General features: G+C 42.9%; 2 protein-coding genes and 1 long non-coding RNA gene across 10 annotated transcripts in view, besides 2 other annotated features; 1 reads left to right on the forward strand and 2 right to left on the reverse strand.

Moving 5' to 3' along the window:
- The window catches only part of C5orf34 (chromosome 5 open reading frame 34), a 28,440-nt gene extending 21,677 nt beyond the window's left edge, over positions 1-6,763 (reverse strand). For 3 of the 5 annotated variants that reach the window (NM_198566.4, XM_011514038.4, XM_047417156.1), the window contains exons 1-3: positions 6,421-6,763; positions 760-990; positions 192-281 (exon numbers count right to left, since the gene is read on the reverse strand). In NM_198566.4, the coding sequence (NP_940968.1) occupies positions 192-281; positions 760-954 (285 nt within the window). In that variant the 5' untranslated portion in view covers positions 955-990; positions 6,421-6,763. The remainder of the gene's footprint in view (positions 1-191; positions 282-759; positions 991-6,420) is intronic. The other 2 variants (XM_017009445.2, XM_017009446.2) reach the window with 2 other exon arrangements.
- On the forward strand, positions 984-11,469 carry LOC124900190 (uncharacterized). 2 transcript variants are annotated; one of them, XR_007058764.1, is made up of 3 exons: positions 984-2,914; positions 5,808-10,917; positions 11,048-11,469. It is a non-coding gene; the product is annotated as an uncharacterized LOC124900190 (long non-coding RNA). The 2 variants fall into 2 exon arrangements; XR_007058765.1 differs by having other exon boundaries at positions 2,873-2,914; positions 5,808-7,579.
- Positions 6,371-6,530: an enhancer, noted in NCBI's record as "active region_22540". NCBI's record gives its function as "activates an Ori minimal core promoter by ATAC-STARR-seq in GM12878 lymphoblastoid cells {active_cell/tissue: GM12878}" and the evidence as "EXISTENCE:reporter gene assay evidence [ECO:0000049][PMID:35858748]".
- Positions 13,452-14,061: an enhancer, noted in NCBI's record as "H3K27ac-H3K4me1 hESC enhancer chr5:43521939-43522548 (GRCh37/hg19 assembly coordinates)". NCBI's record gives its function as "activates a minimal SCP1, AML or CMV promoter by ChIP-STARR-seq in naive H9 embryonic stem cells {active_cell/tissue: H9 hESC(naive)}" and the evidence as "EXISTENCE:reporter gene assay evidence [ECO:0000049][PMID:30033119]".
- PAIP1 (poly(A) binding protein interacting protein 1) overlaps positions 17,882-22,074 on the reverse strand; it is a 31,145-nt gene continuing 26,952 nt past the window's right edge. For all 3 annotated transcript variants that reach the window (NM_183323.3, NM_182789.4, NM_006451.5), the window contains exons 10-11: positions 21,401-21,494; positions 17,882-19,084 (exon numbers count right to left, since the gene is read on the reverse strand). In NM_183323.3, coding sequence (NP_899152.1) covers positions 18,991-19,084; positions 21,401-21,494 — 188 coding nt within the window. In that variant the 3' untranslated portion in view covers positions 17,882-18,990. The remainder of the gene's footprint in view (positions 19,085-21,400; positions 21,495-22,074) is intronic.

The following is a 22,074-nucleotide window of genomic DNA, read 5'->3' on the forward strand; positions in this document are numbered from 1 at the left end:
ATCTAAAAATTCTGATTATAATGCTTGGATACAAAGAAAATGGCAAGGGGGATACACTATGTAACTTTGATGTTTTATAGCAATGTATCCCCAGGTGTCCTGAAAAGGAAAAAAAGGCTAAATATTAAATTACCTGTTTCTAGTTACTTGTCCTCAAATAATACTAACAAAAATGAAGTTAAAAAAATCACCTTTTTTCTTTCAGAAGGTATGATGGTTTCAGATAAAAAAGGGCAAGTAGCTGAAGAGTTTCGAAAATCTAGGGCTCGCTGTAGTTGCTCCTATGAAAAGAAATATAAAATGTAACCTTAATGTAAAATGATTTGAAAATCAATTAAAAATGACAGTACAGTATAATCCATAATACTAATTACTTTTCATATTCTAGCCACGTCAACAGTATTTTGGTATTCAAAGAGTAGTTTTGGCCAGGCACGGTGGTTCACTCCTGTAATCCTGGCATAATGGGAGGCCAAGATGGGAGGATTACTTGAGGCCAGGAGTGTGAGAACCAGTTTGTGCAACATAGCTAGACAATGCTCTACAAAAAATTTAAAAATTAGCCAGATGTGGTAGTGCACACCTGTAGTCCTAGAGTAACTCCCTTGTAAAAGGAGGCTGAGGCAGGAGAATCACTTGAGCCTAGGTGTTCGAGGCTGCAGTGAGCTATGGTAGTGCCACTGTACTCCAGCCTGGGTGACAGAGCAAGAACCTGTCTCTAAAAAACAAAAAAGTTGTTTACGTGATATCTTTACTTACTCTGTAAGTGCTAATGACAAAATGTGTCCTTTGACGAATTCTTTCTGGTTGTTCTAAAGGATGTGCTGAAACAGGTGGTGACTTTTCAAATAAAAATTCAGAGCCACAGGGAGAAAGTTGCAATGTGGAACCATCAACATATTGTACTTGTACTGAATCATCTTCATAAAGTATCATTCGCAGTTCAGCTGCCATTACAACGGCAGGATAAGATATCTTCTAAGTCAAAGACTGAATGAAATAGGAAAAACAACAGCATAAATAGTTCTCTTAATGTACAAAACTTTTATCAAAATAAGTGCGTGCATTTTCTAAGAAGATGACATTGCCATTGCATTTACTTTTGTTAAGAATACTAACTACACTGGATAAATCTGAAATGAACATCCTTAACAAAATGCCTTAATTAACCCCTAGAAGTTTACTCCAATGGAGGAACATAACCAAGAAGAGACAACCACAAGTGATAACTGTCTTTATAATTTTAATAGCTTCACTTCTACTGAAATTTAATTTTTGTAAATTATATGCTTATTATTTAGAAGCTTATAACTTCTAGAAGTTTACTCCAATGCAGGAACATAACCAAGAAGAAATCTAATTTCTTTTTGTTTTTTTTGTTTTTTTTTGAGATGGAGTCTCGCTCTGTCATCCAGGCTAGAGTGCAGTGGTGTGATCTCGGCTCACTGTAACCTCTGCCTCTCAGGTTCAAGTGATTCTTCTGCCTTAGCCTCCTGAGTAGCTGGGATTACAGGTGTGTGCCACCATGCCTGGCTAATTTTTGTAATTTAGTAGAGACGGGGTTTTACCATATTGGTCAGGCTGGTCTGGAACTCCTGACCTTGAGATCTGCCTGCCTCAGCCTCCCAAAGTGCTGGCATTACAGACATGAGCCACTGCGCCCGGCCTAAAGAAATTTAATTTCTATAAATTATATGCTCATTATCTCATTTTAAATTTCAAATAATAAGCAAATTCCACCTTTATGGTAAGAATGCAGCAAATTGTTTGTAATATAAATTCCAAAGACAGGCAGAAAGTAACTATTAGGCCTATGGGAAAAGGACCCTGAAGAAGAAATCCAAATACCTGGAATCCTGTCTCTACCCTAGCATTAAAGAAACAGCTCTTTATTACTACTGAGCAACTTAATCTCCTATTATCTTGGATTTGTCCTTATTTCTCTGCATTCAGTTTCTTCTTCTCTACCTCTAAAGTACTATGTCTTCACCTATGCTCTCCATACAGCAGTGACAGAAGGGGAATTAAAGAGTTGGGTTTCCTCCCTCTCCCTCTCCCCACGGTCTCCCTCTCCCTCTCTTTCTACGGTCTCCCTCTGATGCCTAGCGGAAGCTGGACTGTACTGCTGCCATCTCGGCTCACTGCAACCTCCCTGTCTGATTCTCCTGCCTCAGCCTGCCCAGTGCCTGTGATTGCAGGCGCGCGCTGCCACGCCTGACTGGTTTTCATATTTTTTTGGTGGAGACGGGGTTTCGCTGTGTTGGCCGGGCTGGTCTCCAGCTCCTAACCGCGAGTGATCTGCCAGCCTCGGCCTCCCGAGGTGCCGGGATTGCAGACAGAGTCTCATTCACTCAGTGCTCAATGGTGCCCAGGCTGGAGTGCAGTGGCGTGATCTCGGCTAGCTACAACCTCCACCTCCCAGCCGCCTGCCTTGGCCTCCCAAAGTGCCAAGATTGCAGCCTCTGCCCGGACGCCACCCCATCTGGGAAGTGAGGAGTGTCTCTGCCTGGCCGCCCATCATCTGGGATGTGAGGAGCCCCTCTGCCCGACTGCCCAGTCTGGGAAGTGAAGAGCACCTCTTCCCGGCCGCCATCCCATCTAGGAAGTGAGGAGCGTCTCTGCCCGGCCGCCCATCGTCTGAGATGTGGGGAGCGCCTCTGCCCCGCCGCCCCGTCTGGGATGTGAGGAGCGCCTCTGCCGGGCCGCGACCCCATCTGGGAGATGAGGAGCGTCTCTGCCCGGCCGCCCCATCTGAGAAGTGAGGAGCCCCTCTGCCTGGCAGCCGCCCTGTCTGAGAAGTGAGGAGCCCCTCTGCCCGGCAGCCGACCCGTCTGAGAAGTGAGGAGCCTCTCCGCCTGGCAGCCGCCCCGTCTGAGAAGTGAGGAGCCCCTCCGCCCGGCAGCTGCCCTGTCTGGTTAGTGAGGACCGTCTCTGCCCGGCAGCCGCCCCGTCCGGCAGCCGCCCCGTCCGGGAGGGAGGTGGGGGGCAGCCCCGACCCGGCCAGCCGCTCCGTCCGGGAGGGAGGTGGGGGGCGCCTCCGCCCGGCCGCCGCCCCAACCGGGAGGTGGGGGGCGCCTCTGCCTGGCCGCCCCTTCTGGGAAGTGAGGAGCCCCTCTGCCCGGCCGCCACCCCGTCTGGGAGGTGTACCCAACAGCTCATTAAGAACGGGCCATGATGACGATGGCGGTTTTGTCAAATAGAAAAAGGGGAAATGTGGGGAAAAGATAGAGAAATCAGATTGTTGCTGTGTCCGTGTAGAAAGAAGTAGACATAGGAGACTCCATTTTGTTCTGTACTAAGAAAAATACTTCTGCCTTGGGATGCTGTTGATCTATGACCTTACCCCCAACCCTGTGCTCTCTGAAACATGTGCTGTGTCCACTCAGGGTTAAATGGATTAAGGGCAGTGCAAGATGTGCTTTGTTAAACAGATGCTTGAAGGCAGCATGCTCGTTAAGAGTCATCACCACTCCCTAATCTCAAGTACCCAGGGACACAAACACTGCGGAAGGCTGCAGGGTCCTCTGCCTAGGAAAACCAGAGACCTTTGTTCACCTGTTTATCTGCTGACCTTCCCTCCACTATTGTCCTATGACCCTGCCAAATCCCCCTCTGTGAGAAACACCCAAGAATGATCAACTAAAAAAAAAAAAAAAAAAAAGAGTTGGGTTTCATTCACACCTTACCATTTACTAGCTAGCTATAAGTCTCAGGTTGTTCCTCATTTGTAAAATGGGAGTAGTAACAGGATTGTTGTGTGTATTAAAAGAGAAAACAAATATGACAGTGACCAGCACTGTGGATGCTGCCTTGCAGGCACTCAAGCAATCTTATGAAATGTTTTTATTCCTTTCCAACACTAACCCCATCCCCTTCCACATTATCCCCTTCTACTACCAAGATGATCAAGTTTTACCTGCCAGAAAAAAATAACGTTCTATAGAAAACACTTTCACTTTATCCCTATTTCCTACCTATAAACAGCTCAAGTGTAGTATTCACTCACTACCAACCTTCTCTCCTATCAGTCTTCAATTCACTGCAATCCAGCTTTCACCTCTATCTCTTTACTGACATTGTTTCGCAATGGTCGCCAATGTCTTCTTATACCCAATGACTTTAGTCTTCATCCTACTAAACCTCATCAACGTGTAACAGCATTGTCTACATTCCCTTGCACCAAACTCTCTTTTCCCCTACTTTTCTCCCCTAACATTGGGCTGCCACAGTTTTCTTCTTCACTTCTACCTGTTTTTAGTTTAATCATTCTTCTTCACCATTCCCTTAAATCAAGGATTCTTCAAGACCTGACCTTAGTCCACATTTCATCCCTTCTTAACATAACACTGATGTCACTTTTATGCCCCACCTTGTCTTTTTTTTTTTTTTTTTTTTTTTTTTTTTTTTTTTTTTTTTGAGACAGAGTCTTGCTCTGTTGCCAGGCTGGAGTAGAGTGGCGCAATCTGGGCTCACTGCAACCTCTGCCTCCCGGGTTCAAGTGATTCTCCTGCCTCAGCCTCCTGAGTAGCTGGGACTACAGGTGCGTGCCACCACGCCTGGCTCATTTTTTGTATTTTTAGTAGAGACAGGTTTTCACCATGTTGGCCAGAATGGTCTGGAACTCCACACCTCGTGATCCACCCGTTTTGGCCTCCCAAAGTGCTGGGATTACAGGCGTGAGCCACCGCACCTGGCCCACCTTGTCTTTTTTTAACCTTACCCCCTTTAATGTATGTAATCAGCTGTAGGTGATATCATCTGTAATCTTCTGAGGATATGTCAGGATATAAGTAAATATTTAACCACATGGTCTCTCCTGAGGAGATTCACACACTTTTAATTATTTTCTTTCTCTAGAGAACTAAATGTACCTGACCTCTCACAGAGCTTTCAGGTGGCTGCCTGCTAGACCGCTCTCTATGTCCCTGTCCCATAGATAAATCAAACTCAACATAACTAAAATGGAACTTAATCACTCCTACCAAAAGCAGGCTTCTGTAATACCCCCTAATTGCACTTTCACTCTCATCTCTTCCCTCAAATCCAGTCTGCATACAGTAGTGCCCAGAGGGATCTTTTAAAATGAAAATCACATCTATCACTTCGTGGCTTAAAACCCACCAGTACCTTCCATTTCTACTTAAAATCCAAACTCCTAAACTATGGCCTACAAAGGCCACACAGTCTGGTCCTATCTACCTCTCCCAATGTCATTTCTCAACTCTCTCCTACTTCTACAGGGCACTTTAGATACATTGGCATTTTAAATGTTCTTTAAACAAGCTCTTTCCCATCTTTGCAGTTCTTTCTGCCTGCCTTGTCTTTTCCTTGGCTAATCACAAGGCTGGTTCTTTATCATCATCAAGGTTTCAGCACAAATGTAACTCCTACAAGGGCCCAACGACCAACTAAGTTAAAGTTACTCCCAAACATCTCCCAATCATTTGTCATCCCTCTTCAAGTTTTTTCTTCATAGAATCTATCATCAAAATTGATTATTTACTTGCTTTTTATTTTCTCCCACTAGGATATAAAGTCAACCGAAGCAGGGGCCTTATCTGTCTTATATGTAACAGTATCTCTGGCATCTAAAACAGTATTAGGCAAATAGTAAATGGCACAATAAATATTTGAATGATGAAAAATAAGTAAACTGCTCCTCTTGAATTTGCAATTTGAATTAATGGTGTCTCATTGTTAGCAGCCAATATTCTAAAACTTGACTTTCCACTCCATGCCCCTGTAACAAGTCCTGTTGATTTTCTGTCTTTGGAACCTGACTCTCTCTACCTCTTTCTCTTTTTCAGGCCATAGACTCTCCAACTCCTGCAACTGTCTGGAATTTCTTCTCTCTCCAATCCATCTCTAGTATTGATGACATAGGTAACTTTCCACAAGTCACACCATACCAAGTGCTTTACATCACCTGTTTACGTACTTATCAAATGGCAATATAGATTACAGATATATATATAAACACACACGTATATATCGGGTATGTCTACTTGGTATTTTAGGGGAAAAAACGGGTGCTGATACATAGATGGAAGACATTTTCTGATTCCAATTTGGGAAAAATAGTCTATCTTTGGTCAGGTCTTTTTTTTAATAGCTTTACTGAGGCGGTTTTCTAATTTTAAATAATCAAGCATACACAACAAACAGTGTAATGACTAAGGTTCTTGGCATACCATAGGAAACCATAACCCGGCTCCAACCCACACTGCCATTCTCATCTCTACAGTCTCATTCCCGCTTGCGTTCTCATCACCCAGCACATTACGTCAGGGTATGTTTAACACTCAAAAATCCACAAGTCTGTTCTTGACATGAATGAGAATCTCATTTCTTTCAAAATGCTATAGTCTCTAGTTACAGAAGGAGCCTGATCAAAACAACCACCAAAAGTCTTCCACTCACAGCAGTTCGGAGCCGAAAAGTTGCGGAAATGAGGCCCAGCAACGGTCCCTGGCTTTGATTTGCCAAAATGCTCTGGAAGCCGCAGCGTCGGCGCCTGCCCACCACTGCTTCTTCAGGGGTTTCTTCAGTTTGACAAATTACCAGCGAGTGATATTTCTTGGTGAAAGAAAAAAATCACAACCCTAGAGGAATAAGGTGGCAGGGAGAGTGTTTTGGCCAAGATGCCCGCCACGAAACAGGAAAGCGGAGACAGCGCCAACTGTAACCACTAAGAGAAAGCGCAAACCGCACAAGACCAGTTCAAAACCAGCGCCCTCAGGGAGCCGCTTCAGAGCTCCGCAACAGGGAAGACAGGAAGTCCCGCCCCTCCACAACAGGAAGGGCCGGAAGTCCCGCCCCTCCACTCCGGAGGCTGCCCTCGCTGCGTTCCCTACGAAGGGCGGAGCAGGAATTGGTGTAGGAAGGGGACGGGTGTTTCCTTGTTCGGAATGGGGTTGGCTCCTCTTTGATTTTTTACTTCTGGTGACCCACGCAAAAGCAGTCCCGACCTGGTTGTATTAATAATAAAGGCTGTAAGGATCAGCCTTTTGAACGGTCCAGCCGAGAACTAACCACAGAGCGCGTTTTAGTGGAGTGGTACTTATTTTTAAATAAGGTAAAAAACGATTATACTTCAGTAAAGCTGTTTAGAAAAAAAAAAACTTGGCCAAAGATGGAGAACTCTTCCTAATTTGGTATCAGAAAATAGGTCGTCTATGTATCTGCACCTTTTTTCCTTATAAAGTGGCAAATAAATGTGTCTGCTATATTTATTGCCACTAAACAAGTGTTTATGGAACACTCACTGTGTGTTTAGGCATAGTGGGGATAAAGCAGGGAAGGTGGCCCAGTTCTTTGCGGGTGAGGATCAGAGCTAGAGATTAACTGGAAAGAAAGAATAAACAATCATTTATTACAGTTGTGAGTGTTTCTAAGATAAAATACAGAGGTTTGTGAGAGCATAGAGAGGCATACCTTGTTTTATTGTGCATTTTATTGTGCTTTGCAGATACTGAGTTTACTACAAATGGAAGGTTTGAGGCAACCTTGATGGAGCAAGTGTATGGGTGCCATGTTTTTCCAACATCATGTGCTCACTTTGTGTCTCTGACATATTTTGGTAATTCCCACAATATTTCAAACTTTTTCATTATTTTTGTATCTGTTAGAGTGATCTGTGTGATCACTGATCTTTGATGTCACTACTGTAATTGTTTTGGGGGACCACAGATCATGCTCATACATTATAAAATGGCGAACTGAATCTGTTACAGGTAGTTAGGCATGAGCAAGGCAGGAGAGGGCTCTCCCCTGCCACCCACCCACTAGAAATGTTGGGTGATGGTTCAGCAATTATCACATGGCCTCTCTAAAAATGAAAATTTGGCAGCGCCAGGGAAAGGCCATTTCCTGATGGCCCACACCTGTTAACATCAAAATGTTAATTGAATGCAGGCCCCAGAGAGAAGCAACTTCCTGGGCATGCCGGTTAAGAGACAAAAGTGATGAAGTATGATTTTTCTGATACACTCCACCGGAAAAAGGAAGAAAGCCTCAGATGGGCATGTGTATAAATCCATAAAATCACTGTGTGTGCTCACTTCCCAAGGGTAAAGAGGGCTCTGAGCATGCAGGGAGCCCATCCTAAGATCATGGTTAAATGCGGCACTTGACCTTCTCTCTCTCTCTCTCCTTTTCTTTTTCTTTTTTTTTTGAGACGGAGTCTCACTCTGTCGCCCAGGCTGCAGTGCAGTGGCGCGATTTCAGCTCACTGCAATCTCCGCCTCCCGGGTTCAAGCAATTCTCTGCCTCAGCCCCCTCCCCGAGTAGCTGGGATTACAGGCGCCCACCACCATACCCGGCTAATTTTTTTGTATTTTTAGTAGAGACAGGGTTTCACCATCTTGGCCAGGCTGGTCTTGAACTCCTGACCTCATGATCCACCTGCTTCAGCCTCCCAAAGTTCTGGGATTATAGGCGTGAGCCACTGCACCCGGCTGGCCTTCTCTCTTTAACCTTCACATGCCCACTTGGGTCTCTTCCATGCGTACCTTCCTTTCTTTCCTGTTCTAATGCCTGTTTAAATAAACCTCCATTCCTACTCTGGAACTTGCTTCAGTCTCTTTTCTGCTTTATGTCTGTCAGTCAAATTCTTTCTTCTCTGAGGAGGCCAGGACTGAAGTTGCTATGGACCTGCAAGGATAGGCTGCTGGTAACTTGGGGTAACTCAGATCTCTTCCACTAGTAACAAGTCGATTGATATATATTGTGTGTGTCTGGCTGCTGTATTCACTGGCCACTCTCATCTCTCACCCTCTCCTAGAGCCTTCCTATTCCTTGAGACACAACAATATCAAAATTAGGCAAAGTAATACCCCTACAGTGGCTTCTAAGTGTCCAAGTAAAAGAGGGTTGTATGTCTCTCACTTTAAATCATAACCTAGAAATGCATGATTAAGCCTGTAAGGAAGGCATGTTGAAAGCTAAGATAGGCTGAAAGCTAAGCCTCTTGTGTCAAACAGCCAAGTTGTGAATACAAAGAAAAAATTCTTAAAGGAAATTAAAAGTACTACTCCAGTGAACACATGAATAATAAGAAAAACCAAAACAGCCTTATTACTGACAGGGAGGAAGTTTGAATGGTCTGGATAGAAGATCAAACCAGCTACAACATTCCCTTAAACCAAAGCCTAATCCAGAACAAAGCCCTAACTCTCTTCGATTCTATGAAGGCTGAGAAAGGTGAGGGAGTTGAAGAAAAGTTTAAAGCTATCAGTAGTTGGTTCATGAAATTTAAGGAAAGAAGCCATCTCTGTAACATAAAAGGGCAAGGTGAAGCCACAAGTGCTGATGTAGAAGCTGCAGCAAGTTATCCAGAAGATCTAACGAAGACCATTGATGAAGGTGGCCAAATTAAACAGCGGATTTTTAATGTAGATGCAACAGCCTTCTAGTGGAAGATGTCATCCAGGACTTTCATAGCCAGAGAGAAATTAATGCCTGGTTTCAAAGCTTCAAAGGACAGGCTGATTGTCTTGTGAAGGTCTAATGCAGCTGGTGACTTGAAGTTGAAACCAATGCTCATTTCTCATTTCAAAATCCTAGGGCCCTTAAGAATTATGTTAAATCTACTCTGCCTGCACTCCAGAAACAACAGAGCCTGGATGACAGCACATCTGTTTAGAGTATGATTTACTGAATATTTTAAGCCCACTGTTGAAAATGACATTCAGAAAAATAGATTTCTTTTAAAATATTGCTACTTATTGACAATGCACCTGGTCACCTAAGAGCTCTGATGACGTACAAGGAGATTAATGTTGTTTTCATGTCTGCTAACGCAGCATCCATTCTACAGCCTAAGAGTCAAGAAGTAATTTTGATTTTCAGGTCTTATTATTTAAACAATACATTTCTTGAGGCTATAGCTGACATACAGAGTGATGTCTCTAATGGATCTGGGCAAAATCAATTGAAAACCTTTGGGAAAAGATTCACCATTCTAGATGCCATTGAGAACATTTGTGCTTCATGGGAGGAGGTCAAAATATCCAATTAAGAGAAGTTTGGAAGAAGTTTATTCCAATCCTCATGGTTGAGTTTGAGGGCTTCATGTCTTTAGTGAAAGAAGTGACTGCAGATGTGATGGAAACAGCAAGAGAACTGAATGAGAAGGGGAGCCTGAAGATGTGACTGAATTGCTGCAATCTCCTGATAAACCTTGAATGGATGAGTTGCTTCTTTTTTTTTTGAGATGGAGTCTTGCTCTGTCACCCAGGCTGGAGTGCAGTGGCACAATCTTGGCTCAGTGCAACCTCCGCTTGCTGGGTTCAAGCAATTCTTCTGCCTCAGCCTCCCGAGTAGCTGGGACTACAGGCATGCGCCACCATGCCCGGCTAATTTTTTGTATTTTTGGTAGAGACAGGGTTTCACCATGCTGTCCAGGCTGGTCTTGAACTCCTGACCTTGTGACCCGCCTGCCTCGGCCTCCCAAAGTGCTGGGATTACAGGCGTGAGCCACGGCGCCTGGCCTGCGTTGCTTCTTATGGATTAGCAAAGAAAGTGATTTCTTGAAATGGAAACTACTCCTAGTGAAGATGCTGAGTATTGTTGAAATGACAATAAAGGATTTTGAATATTACATAAACTTTGTTGATAAAACAGCAGCAGGGTTTAAGATGATTGACTCAAATTTTTAAAGAAGTTCTATTGTGGTTAAAATGCTATCACACAGCATTGCAAACTGGATAAATCTTTCTTGAAAGGAAGAGGCAAACCTCATTGTTGGCTTATTTTAAGAAATTGCCACAGCTGTCCCAGCCTTCGGCAACCACCACCCGAATCAGTCAACAGCTATCAACACTGGGGCAAGACCCTCCACCAGCAAAAAGATTACGATTCACTGAAGACTCATATGATCATTTGTATTTTCTAGCAATAAAGAATTTTTAAATTAAGGTATGTATATTTAAAGAATATGCTTTCGCACACTTAATAGGCCTCAGTATAGTATAAACATAACTTTTATATGTACTGGGAAACCAAAGAATTCCCAACTTACTTTATTGCAATATTTGCTTTATTGTAGTCTGGAACGGAACTAGCAATATCTCCATGGAATACCTGTAATGAGCAGATTTAACCTAAGATGAGAAAATATTTCCACTGAAGTTTGAAATTTAAGTACGTGTTAGCCAGGTAAAGTAGGGGGAAAAGTATTTCAAGCAGAGGTTAAAGTCCCTGTGTTAAGGCTGTGAGGCCCAAGGGAAGGAGCTTTCCCTTTAAAAAGGACTGAAAGAAAGCAAATGTGGTTTAAGCATGGTTAGGGAGGAAAGAGGCCTGAAGGGGAGGGAATCCTGGAGTGGGATACAGAGGTAGGCAGGCAGAGTACAGAACATTAGGGATTTATGGACTCAAGATTTATATTCTCTGACACCAAATTAGGAAAAAAAGAGGTCTCTATTTTTGGCCAAGTTGTGTGTGTGTGTGTGTGTGTGTGTGTGTGTGTGTGTGTTTTAAACAGCTTTATTGAGGTATAATTGTTTATTACAAGGTGTTTAAGTAGGCTGGGCACGGTGGCTCACATCTGTAATCCCAGCACTTTGGGAGGCCAAGGCAGGTGGACCACCTGAGGTCAGTAGTTCCAGACCAGCCTGGCCAACATGGTGAAACCCCATCTCTACTAAAAATACAAAAATTAGCTGAGCATGGTGCCAGGCACCTGTAATCCCAGCGACTCAGGAGGCTGAGGCAGGAGAATTGCTTGAACCTGGGAGGGGGAGGTTGCAATGAGCCAAGATCGTGCCACTGCACTCCAGCCTGAACAACAGAGCAAGACTCCATCTCAAAAACAAAAACAAAAACAGAAAACAACAAGGTGTTTAAGCAAATGTGGCAGCACCACAGGATGGGGGGGGCAACATAAACCCCTAATTTACCTCCATTTAAAAAAGGCTGATATGCAAATTGATATCAATCTTCCATGAAGTGTAAATAAAGGCATCTTTAAAGATCACATTTTCATTGACCTGTAACATCAGTTTGTATCACATAATGCTAACTTAGTTCCTGTCCCACCCCCACCTTTTACCTTCTAAGAACCTCCTATATCGAAATCCTATCTACTACAGAGTTTTGTGATGCTATTTGTCCATTAGAAAGATTCTTGGAACTGCTAAGTGGAGAAAGGATTATAGGATGCAAGGTTGATGTGGATAGCTCAGTAGAAGGTTTTTGAAAAAGCAACAGTAGAGATCATGGCAGCTTGGACGCAGGACCTGGGCAGTGAAGATGATGAGCACAGCTCCAGGAAATATTTAGGAGATTGACTGTATACTTGATGGTGGTTGAACCTGGGGCTAAGGGAGGGGTAGGAGTCATAGGCAATCAGGGTTTCTGGTTGGGACAAGTGGATAGGTGGCAGTGCTACTGATAAGAAAGGGGATGTTAAGAGGAAGAGCAAATTTACTGATAGCATGATTTAAATTTTGTTAGTCCACCTGATCGAAATGGTAAATTAGTAGAGGTCTGCAATCAGGAGATAGAAACAAATCTGGAGGTCACTGGCTGATAGCTGCTAACTGAAGCTACAGGAGAGGATGAAATAGTCCAAGAATATTGTGACATGAGAAAAGAATGTTTAGGACTGAACTTTGAAGAACACTAGTATGTACAGATTAGGTAAAGGAAGAGAAGCCCACAAAAACATTGAGGAGGAACAGCATGAAGATGGAAAGCAAGTTAACTGTGTCCTAAATGCCTAGAGGTTTTCTTTTTCTTTTTTTTTTTTTTGAGACAGAGTCTCACTCTGTCACGCAGGCTGGAGTGCAGTGGTGCAATCTGGGTTCACTACAAGCTCCGCCTCCCAGGTTCACGCCATTCTCCTGCCTCAGCTTCCTGAGTAGCTGGGACTACAGGCGCCCACCACCACGCCAGGCTAATTTTTTGTATTTTTAGTAGAGATGGGGTTTCACCGTCTTAGCCAGGATGGTCTCGATCTCCTGACCTTGTGATCCGCCCGCCTCGGCCTCCCAAAGTGCTGGGATTACAGGCATGAGCCACCGCGCCCAGCCTGAGGTTTTCAATTTTAGTGTCACTTAACAATGTCACATATTGAGAAAATTTATTTGTTGCTTCCCTCTTCCCTCTCCCCTCTCCCCTCTCCCCACGGTCTCCCTCTCTTTCCACGGTCTCCCTCTGATGCCGAGCCGAAGCTGGACTGTACTGCTGCCATCTCGGCTCACTGCAACCTCCCTGCCTGATTCTCCTGCCTCAGCCTGCCGAGTGCCTGCGATTGCAGGAGCGCGCCGCCACGCCTGACTGGTTTTCGTATTTTTTTGGTGGAGAAGGGGTTTCGCTGTGTTGGCCGGGCTGGTCTCCAGCTCCTAACCGCGAGTGATCTGCCAGCCTCGGCCTCCCGAGGTGCCGGGATTGCAGACGGAGTCTGGTTCACTCAGTGCTCAATGGTGCCCAGGCTGGAGTGCAGTGGCGTGATCTCGGCTCGCTACAACCTCCACCTCCCAGCCGCCTGCCTTGGCCTCCCAAAGTGCCGAGATTGCAGCCTCTGCCTCGCCACCACCCCGTTTGGGAAGTGAGGAGCGTCTCTGCCTGGCCACCCATCGTCTGGGACGTGAGGAGCCCCTCTGCCTGGCTGCCCAGTCTGGAAAGTGAGGAGCGTCTCTGCCCGGCCGCCATCCCATCTAGGAAGTGAGGAGCGCCTCTTCCCGGCCTCCCATCGTCTGAGATGTGGGGAGCGCCTCTGCCCCGCTGCCCCGTCTGGGATGTGAGGAGCGCCTCTACCCGGCCGCGACCCCGTCTGGGAGGTGAGGAGCGTCTCTGCCCGGCTGCCCCGTCTGAGAAGTGAGGAGTCCCTCCGCCCGGCAGCTGCCCCGTCTGAGAAGTGAGGAGCCCCTCCGTCCGGCAGCCGCCCCGTCTGGGAAGTGAGGAGCCCCTCCGCCCGGCAGCCACCCCGTCTGGGAGGGAGGTGGGGGTCAGCCCCCCACCCGGCCAGCCGCCCCGCCCGGGAGGTGAGGGGCGCCTCTGCCCGGCTGCCCCTACTGGGAAGTGAGGAGCCCCTCTGCCCAGCCAGCCGCCCCGTCCGGGAGGGAGGTGGGGGGGTCAGCCCCCCGCCCGGCCAGCTGCCCCGTCCGGGAGGTGAGGGGCGCCTCTGCCCGGCCGCCCCTACTGGGAAGTGAGGAGCCCCTCTACCCGGCCACCACCCCGTCTGGGAGGTGTATCGAACAGCTCATTGAGAACAGGCCATGATGACAATGGCGGTTTTGTGGAATACAAAGGGGGGAAAGGTGGGGAAAAGATTGAGAAATCGGATGGTTGCCGCGTCTGTGTAGAAAGAGGTAGACATGGGAGACTTTTCATTTTGTTCTGTACTAAGAAAAATTCTTATCCTGTTGATCTGTGACCTTACCCCCAACCCTGTGCTCTCTGAAACATGTGCTGTGTCCACTCAGAGTTAAATGGATTAAGGGCGGTGCAAGATGTGCTTTGTTAAACAGATGCTTGAAGGCAGCATGCTCGTTAAGAGTCATCACCACTCCCTAACCTCAAGGACCCAGGGACACAAACATTGCGGAAGGCCGCAGGGTCCTCTGCCTAGGAAAGCCATAGACCTTTGTTCACTTGTTTATCTGCTGACCTTCCCTCCACTATTGTCCTATGACCCTGCCAAATCCCCCTCTGCGAGAAACACCCAAGAATGATCAATAAAAAATAAAAAAATAATAAAAAAAAAAGAAAAAAAAGAAAAAAACAATGTCACATATTGCCACAGGATAAGCTAAGGATGAAATCTCTCCAGGACTTAGTGTCATAGAGGTCATTGGTGACTCTAGTGAGGGCCACTGTATATAGTGGGGGCAGGAGCCATAGTGGGTTTTAAGCTCAAATAGGAGGTAAGGACATGGAAAACATGGGAAGGCACTTGAGAAGTCTGACTATGAAGCAGAGATAGGACTGTGGTCAGATACAAATATGAGAAGCAGATTTCTTCTGATGAGAATGGTGTGTTCAACTGTCCATGCAAAGAGCCAATGGAGAAAGAGAGGAAAAATACAGACCAAGTAACAACAGACTCCATGAGAGAACGAGAGGAGATAGGATTGCAGCACATGTTGAATAACTGGCCTTTAATAAGAGGAGGGATTCTTCCTGTACAGGAAGAGGAGGGATGAAGTGAATGCAGATGCATTTGTGTACATGGGTATCATGGTTTTTTTTTCCCCTGTGAAGTAATCAGTTAGGGGGTGAAAGGGGCTTTAGAGGGAAAGGGGTTTGAAATAGTTACAGAAGGATTGAAGAGAAACACATTAACATTGTTGGCAGTACTGACAGCCTAACTCAATGTGCTGAGCATGAATTTACAGTGATAAAAATCTACCAGAAACGACCTCCAGCTGCAAGGATGCAGAAGCAGTGTTGGGTTCATCCAGGGCTGGTATTTTGCCAGGCTGACACAATAGAGCAGCAGCATACATGAGCTTAAATTATTTACATCTGCTGAAGTCTAGTCCGCCAAAGATCACCAGGCTCAAGCCTGTCTTCTGACAAAACCATTTATTGATTTGCAAGCAAGGGAACCAGAAGCAGCAAAGATGGTGCATTCCACAAGAGGGCAGGGGGTGCCATCTTTGGTAAGGTTTGGGTTCCCAGTGTAGGGTTCTGAGCAAGCTATAAGGGAAAGGAGACCAGTTCTGGGTTGGATGCTATTTCTGTAGCAAGATTAGATGTGAGAATTAACTAGAGATTGGTGCTGCAATGAGGTGAGGGCAAGTTTAGCAACTGGATATCCCCAGTAGTAGATGGGTTATAGCAAAATAGGTCTAAGGGTGTCACAGCCAACAAAGCAGTGGTCACATGAGGGAGTCATGATGGTATTTTATAGCTGCTGCAGGACCTAACAGTTTCATGTTAACTTTGCAGCTGCCTTGCCTGTCCCCCTGACAGTGGTGGAGCTTTTTTTTTCAGTTTGAGCCACTTTGAGTCCTAGAGTTTACTTTCATACCAAACATCCTCCTCTCATTAAATGTGAATGATTTTTCCCCCTAAAGTACAACTTAATCCATATGCATCTGTCCTCTCTAAAGATTTAATGAAATACCTAATTATAGAATTAAGCTTGCTTTCTGGCAAGACCCAGCCTAGAGTGAACGTTAAGTTTTAGACCATCCCCTAAATCACCAAAGCCCAAATCCTACCACAGATTCTAACACACTCTTACTGATGCACCCCACAACTCCCACAAGGTGTATGTTCTCCTTTACTGCAACAATAAGCTCAGGCCGGGCGAGGTGGCTCACGCCTGTAATCCCAGCACTTTGGGAGGCCGAGGTGGGCAGATCATCTGAGATTGGGAGCTTGAGGCCAACCTGGCCAACATGGCGAAACCCCGTCTCTACTAAAAATACAAAATTAGCCGGGCATGGTGGTGCGTGCCTGTAATCCCAGCTACTTGGGAGGCTGAGGCAGAATTGCTTGAACCCGGGAGGCAGAGGTTGAGGTGAGCTGAGATCACGCCACTGCACTCCAGCCTGGGCAACAAGAACAATACTCTGCCTCAAAAAACAAACAAACAAACAAAAAAAAAAACAAAACCCAGTAAGCTCAACATGTTCAGGTACAGTGTGTTCCTGGTAGTCTATGGCTGGAGAGCATTAACAACATAAAGACAGAGGGTCAGAGTTGATGACAACTTCTAGGTTAAGACCAATATTTGTGGTTTTTTTTTTTTTTTTGCCAGAACGCAAGACTATATTTACTAGCAGCTCTGTGTCCTTGCTCATTGGAAAATGATCTTTCCTCAAGACTTGCTGACACGTTTCTGTTTAAGGCATGACAATCCTAAAGGCCAACAATTGTGGACGGGGGCAACTCTTCCTTTCATTATGTACTGGTGTAGTCAATTATGCAAAGTCTGGTCAACCAAAGACCACCAGGCTCAAGCCATCAGTTTTAAAATATGGCCACATGCTCCTTGATGGCCTATGTGATATGGCTTTAGTAACTCCCTTAGGACCAAGAGAATATAATGGAACTAATGCTGTGTAACTTCCAAATGCAGCTGCTTTCTGGGTCTTTTGAAATGGCCCTTCAGAATCCAGGCAACATGCTGTGAGAAGTTCAAGCTACATGGACAAGTGTAGATGGTTCTGGTGAACGATTCCAATCTAGTCTTGGCTTTAAAAGTCATCTCAGTACCATGAATTCAGATGATTATAGCTCTCAGATATTCAAATTACCCTCAGCCCTTAGTTTTCCTTGCCTAGGCCTCAGACATCATAGAATAAAGCCATCCCCATTGTGCCCTCTCCAAGTTCCTGAACTATAGAGTCCATGAGCATAATAAAATGATTGTTTTAAGATGCTAGATTTCTGTGCTTTTTTTATTAAGCATAATACCGGGAACAGATATTGATCTTGTCGGTAGCTACTGTGAGTAGAGCAGTAGTTGGTGACAATGAGCTAGTAGACAAATACTGGACAGTTATTCACAGAGCAGCTGCTAGAAGTTTCAAGTATATGCAGTTAGCATTCCTTGTCCCTGGTCTAATGTACCATCTCTTCTCTACACCTCCTCTCCCTCCAATATTTATAGTCAGTGCTATCTTTAGAGAACTGCAGATTATGTTAATAGCTGCCATGTTACAGGAGCCATTTTGAAAAACATTTCTTACTACAACTTCCAAAAACCACAATTACGTACATTATTTCCTTTATAGAAGGAATTTTAAAGTTTTAATGTTTTATATTTGCTAGTTTTTCAAGGTAGACTTGTTACTGAATTCTTATTCAGAGAATGAATAAAATATCTTCTAATATGATTTCTTTGATTTCAAACCATTAAGTAAATTAATTATGTCATTTAAGTTCAACAGCAAATTATTTAAAATACCAGATGCTACTTCAAAAATTTAGAGGAAACAACTATTTAAGCTTTATTTTCAAAGTCTAATTTTAATTCAGACTGAACAAACAAGCAGAAAAGTGAGAAAGCTAACTGTATTAGCAGACACAGATGTACCAAATGTAAAACAGTGGGTTATTAACAGAACTATTTACATGCATATTTACAAGCAATCCTTTTGTACACAGTTTTTAGTTAGCTGGAAAAAGATTTGACATTAGGTAAAAATATTATTTATTAGGGCTGAGGTGGTACCACATTATAGTAAAAGTATTAGAAAAGTGACCCTCAAGGTGTATCAATTATAAAGCAGATGAAAACTTGAATGACAAATATCTAGTAAAATTCTCTAGTAAAAAAGTCGATGCAACCCATGCTACAAAATAAAAGTGAGAAAGCCATATAAATAAAGCAGAATAATGTTCTAGCCTTTAAGGTAATGAAGTTAGTCAGTTGAAAAAATAAAAATAAAAAAGAACAATTCTAGAATTGGAATAAATCTTCAGTGAAGTCTTGGTTGTTTAGCTGGGAGTTCACCAAGTTGGGTTTTTCCCCCCCATGACATTTAAAAAGCCCTTGGTATCAAATAGCATCTGCATATGTAAATCAGTTGTTGATATATTCCAAGACTTTAGTGCTAAAGATTTTCAAGATTATGATTCATATTTGAAATTCAATTCATTGGGACACTAAATGTCAAACTAAAATGAAAGCTATAATACTCCTACCTAAAAAAGGATGCTACATTTTTGCAGTAATATGTATTTCCAGAAGAAGACTTTTTCCCCTCAAGAAAAGTAGAATTTAAAGGATAAGCATCTAACCAACTAGCAAAATTTTCAACATTTCATTTATTTCAAAATCGATTTTATTGCAGCCAAAACAGTAGAATTAACTGTACATAATAAACTATTATATATATATACACATTTTAAGTTATAGGGAATAAAGTTTATTTTGGCAGATAGTGTTAAACAAAATTAAAGTTGCATACATTAGTAACATAACTCAACATCCTTAATTTGGTATAGATGTGACATTTTCTTGCTCTCTTGTGTTCTGCTAAATCACCATACCTAAACTGCTTTATAAAACTGATATGCTGAAATTTAACTTTACTGTTTTCGCTTACGCTCTGATTCCAAACAAAACTTTTCATAAGCTTCTTCTATCTCTGGGTCCATCTCATCATCAATATCATCCAAGTATCTGTAAAAGCAAAGATGATTCATAAGTGTAAGGTTTTTCAACTCAGAAAGTAAGATGCTAAATCATGAAAAAAATAATGTAATACAACTTTCCTAGACTGACTTATAATAGAACACAAGCCTAACTTTAGAATTACATTAATGGCAGTCTTCGGACAACCAAATGCTTAATTTGGTAAGTAAAATTTTACAGATTCTGAGTCCCTTGTGTGTGAAATTATAGTAAAGAATATATATACTTTTAGACATAAGTTAAATTCTATAACCTGAAAGTTAATCAAAGGCTTGACATATAAACTTGGGGCTCAAGATCGATATTAATAAATTTACCTTACCAACAAACAATTAGAATATAACTATTAATAGAACATAATTTCAAATATGCCATTCACCTCTAGTGATGCACTAATATTTTGTGTCTACTTAATAACAGAAAGTGCTATTCCTGCTATGATTTCTGCTGGGTTATTCCCATGATGACAATTTAGTCACATTCCCATTTATTTGGAATCAGATTTTCACAGGAAGCTACTTTTGAGATCATCTATTCCAGATTTTTTTCCAACTATTAGGTAGTTTAAAATGGTGGAAAGCAAGGCTTCCCATAGTTAAGTATGGCGGGAAAGATTTAAAGTGTCAATTAAGGATTTAATCTACACATTCTTACTGAATGTCCATAGCCATCTTAAAAAGATATGCATTACGATCATCTTCATTTTGGAGATGGAAAATAAAGAGATTCTGGAAGGTTAAATGAACAATGTAAAATTTTAAGTGTGTGGCGGGGCCAGAATTTGACTCCAGGTCTTACCCCTTTTCCTCCATAACATGATTCTATCAACATCTTCCCCACCCCTCCAATAATCCAATCCCTTCCACCTACAAGCATGAAAAAACAATCTTGCCAACCCTACCAACTGCTGATGAGTCCTTTTCTGTTTCTTCCCCATTTCCAATACAGGGCCATGTGTTGAAATAACCATGAGCTCATTAGGGCAAGAGAATATGATGCTTACCAAATAAACTTAAGAGGATAACCTGAAGTTCAATGCCAAGAACAACTTTATCTTCCAGCGGTATACCCAAGTAGATGGAACTTTCCTAGTTCTGCCTGGGTCCTTAAATCCCTGTATTTTTTTTGTTTTCTATTAAACTAGAATATAGAAGTACAGCAACAATTGTATTTCTAGATCTCAAACCGACACATAATTAAAATATCACTAGAATAAAAGTGGTTCACTTTTTTAAAAAAATCTACAACACAGGAGATATTAAAAAAAAAATAAGTTCAAGATATAATTTATTCCCTCCCATCTCCTACTTAGGAAGAAAAGAAACTAAGTAGCCTGTCCAAATATACACAAGTTGTTAACAGAATTGGTACTAAACCTCACAATTTCCTGGTCCTTCTATAAGAAAATGTAGTGCACTCTGATGGTAAGTGAGTAATATGTTTAAAGGGATCTTTAATTACAAAGAGTGGCAGGTGAAGAAACAGATATATAAACAGTCCTATAATTAACATCTTCTTATCAGTTCAAACATTTTTACATAGTAATCTGTTTTCTTTACTCTTAACTTACCCTTTAATAGCTAAGATTTGAGCCTTCTACTGTGTGCCGGAAGGCTAAGTATTTATGTATTCTCATGTAGTTCTCAAGAAAAAAAAAAAAAAGACTCAACAGGTACTACTATTCTTATTTTATAGATGGAGAAGCAGAACAGAAGTTGCCCAAGATCTTACAGTAAGTTTTAGAGCTTCTTAAAGTCTAAATACAATAGAATCTATTTTAAAAAAATAATTATGCTTAAGTATACTATATTTTAATGGTTATTTTCCTCAACTATACATTTTTCAGAACTAGTCTGTGAGTTAATACAATTTTCTGAAAATTTTTAGTACATAAACACTACCACATAGCACCATCAAATCAAAATGCCTTTTTTTTTTTTGAGACAGAATCTAGTTATGTCTCCCAAGCTGGAGTGCAGTGGCACGATCTCGGCTCACTGCAACCTCTGCCTTCCAAGTTCAAGCAATTCTTGTGCCTCAGCCTCCCGAGTAGCTGTGATTCTGTGATCCTGGCTAATTTTTGTACTTTTAGTAGAGACAGGGTTTCGCCATGTTGGCCAGGCTGGTCTTGAACTCTTGGCCTCAAGTGATCTGCCCTCCTCAGCCTCCCAAAGTGTTGGGATTACAGGCACGAGCCACTGCGCCTGGCCCCAAACACCATTCCTTCATGAGCTACTTTGTCTAATCTCCACCTATAAATTAGACACAGAAATTTCACGAAGTTAGTAACTGAAGAAAACTTACGGATCACCAGCCCCGGATAAATCTGTTCCATTTTCTTCATAATCTGGAAAAAAGTCCTCTCTTTCAAGTAATTCTTGGTATTTCTCTTGGTAATCTGTAAGACAACATAGGAGAAAAACTAAATACTGAAAAAATATCACATGAAATGACCAATCACCCCTAAATGTTTTTTAATATTATGACTTTTGCCCCCCTGCATGCTCAGAAATCTTAAAGTAATTACATATAGTACTATAGATATAAGTTGGAAATCAAAGCCACTGTAGGTGATGTACATTCATAGCCAATGTGTTTATATCCTCTACTGCTGCTTTCCATCAGACAAAATAATGGTTATATAACTGTTGGGGAAGAACAGTCCTTCCATTGGAAAGATATTAATCAAATACTACTGGTTTCCAGCTCCCTCTGTACTCCTCCACAAGGAAGTAAAGAAAGCAGGTAACAACAATTGGTCTCTGTTCCTCAGATGAAGTTAACCTACCAAAAGTTTTAACAATGGGGGATTTTCCTTCCCTTTCTTCCCAGAGAGATGGGGAAGGCAGCTACCTGGTAAACGTTTCAGCTCTGCCAACTTTCCTTTCATTGGGTCCTCCAAGGTAATACAGGTGATATTACACCTATCTGCCAATTGTCTTAGGAAGAGTTATTGGGTACCTTTTAAGTTAAGTATT

The sequence above is a fragment of the Homo sapiens genome, chromosome 5, assembly GCF_000001405.40.
Source record: "Homo sapiens chromosome 5, GRCh38.p14 Primary Assembly".
NCBI lineage: Eukaryota > Metazoa > Chordata > Mammalia > Primates > Hominidae > Homo > Homo sapiens.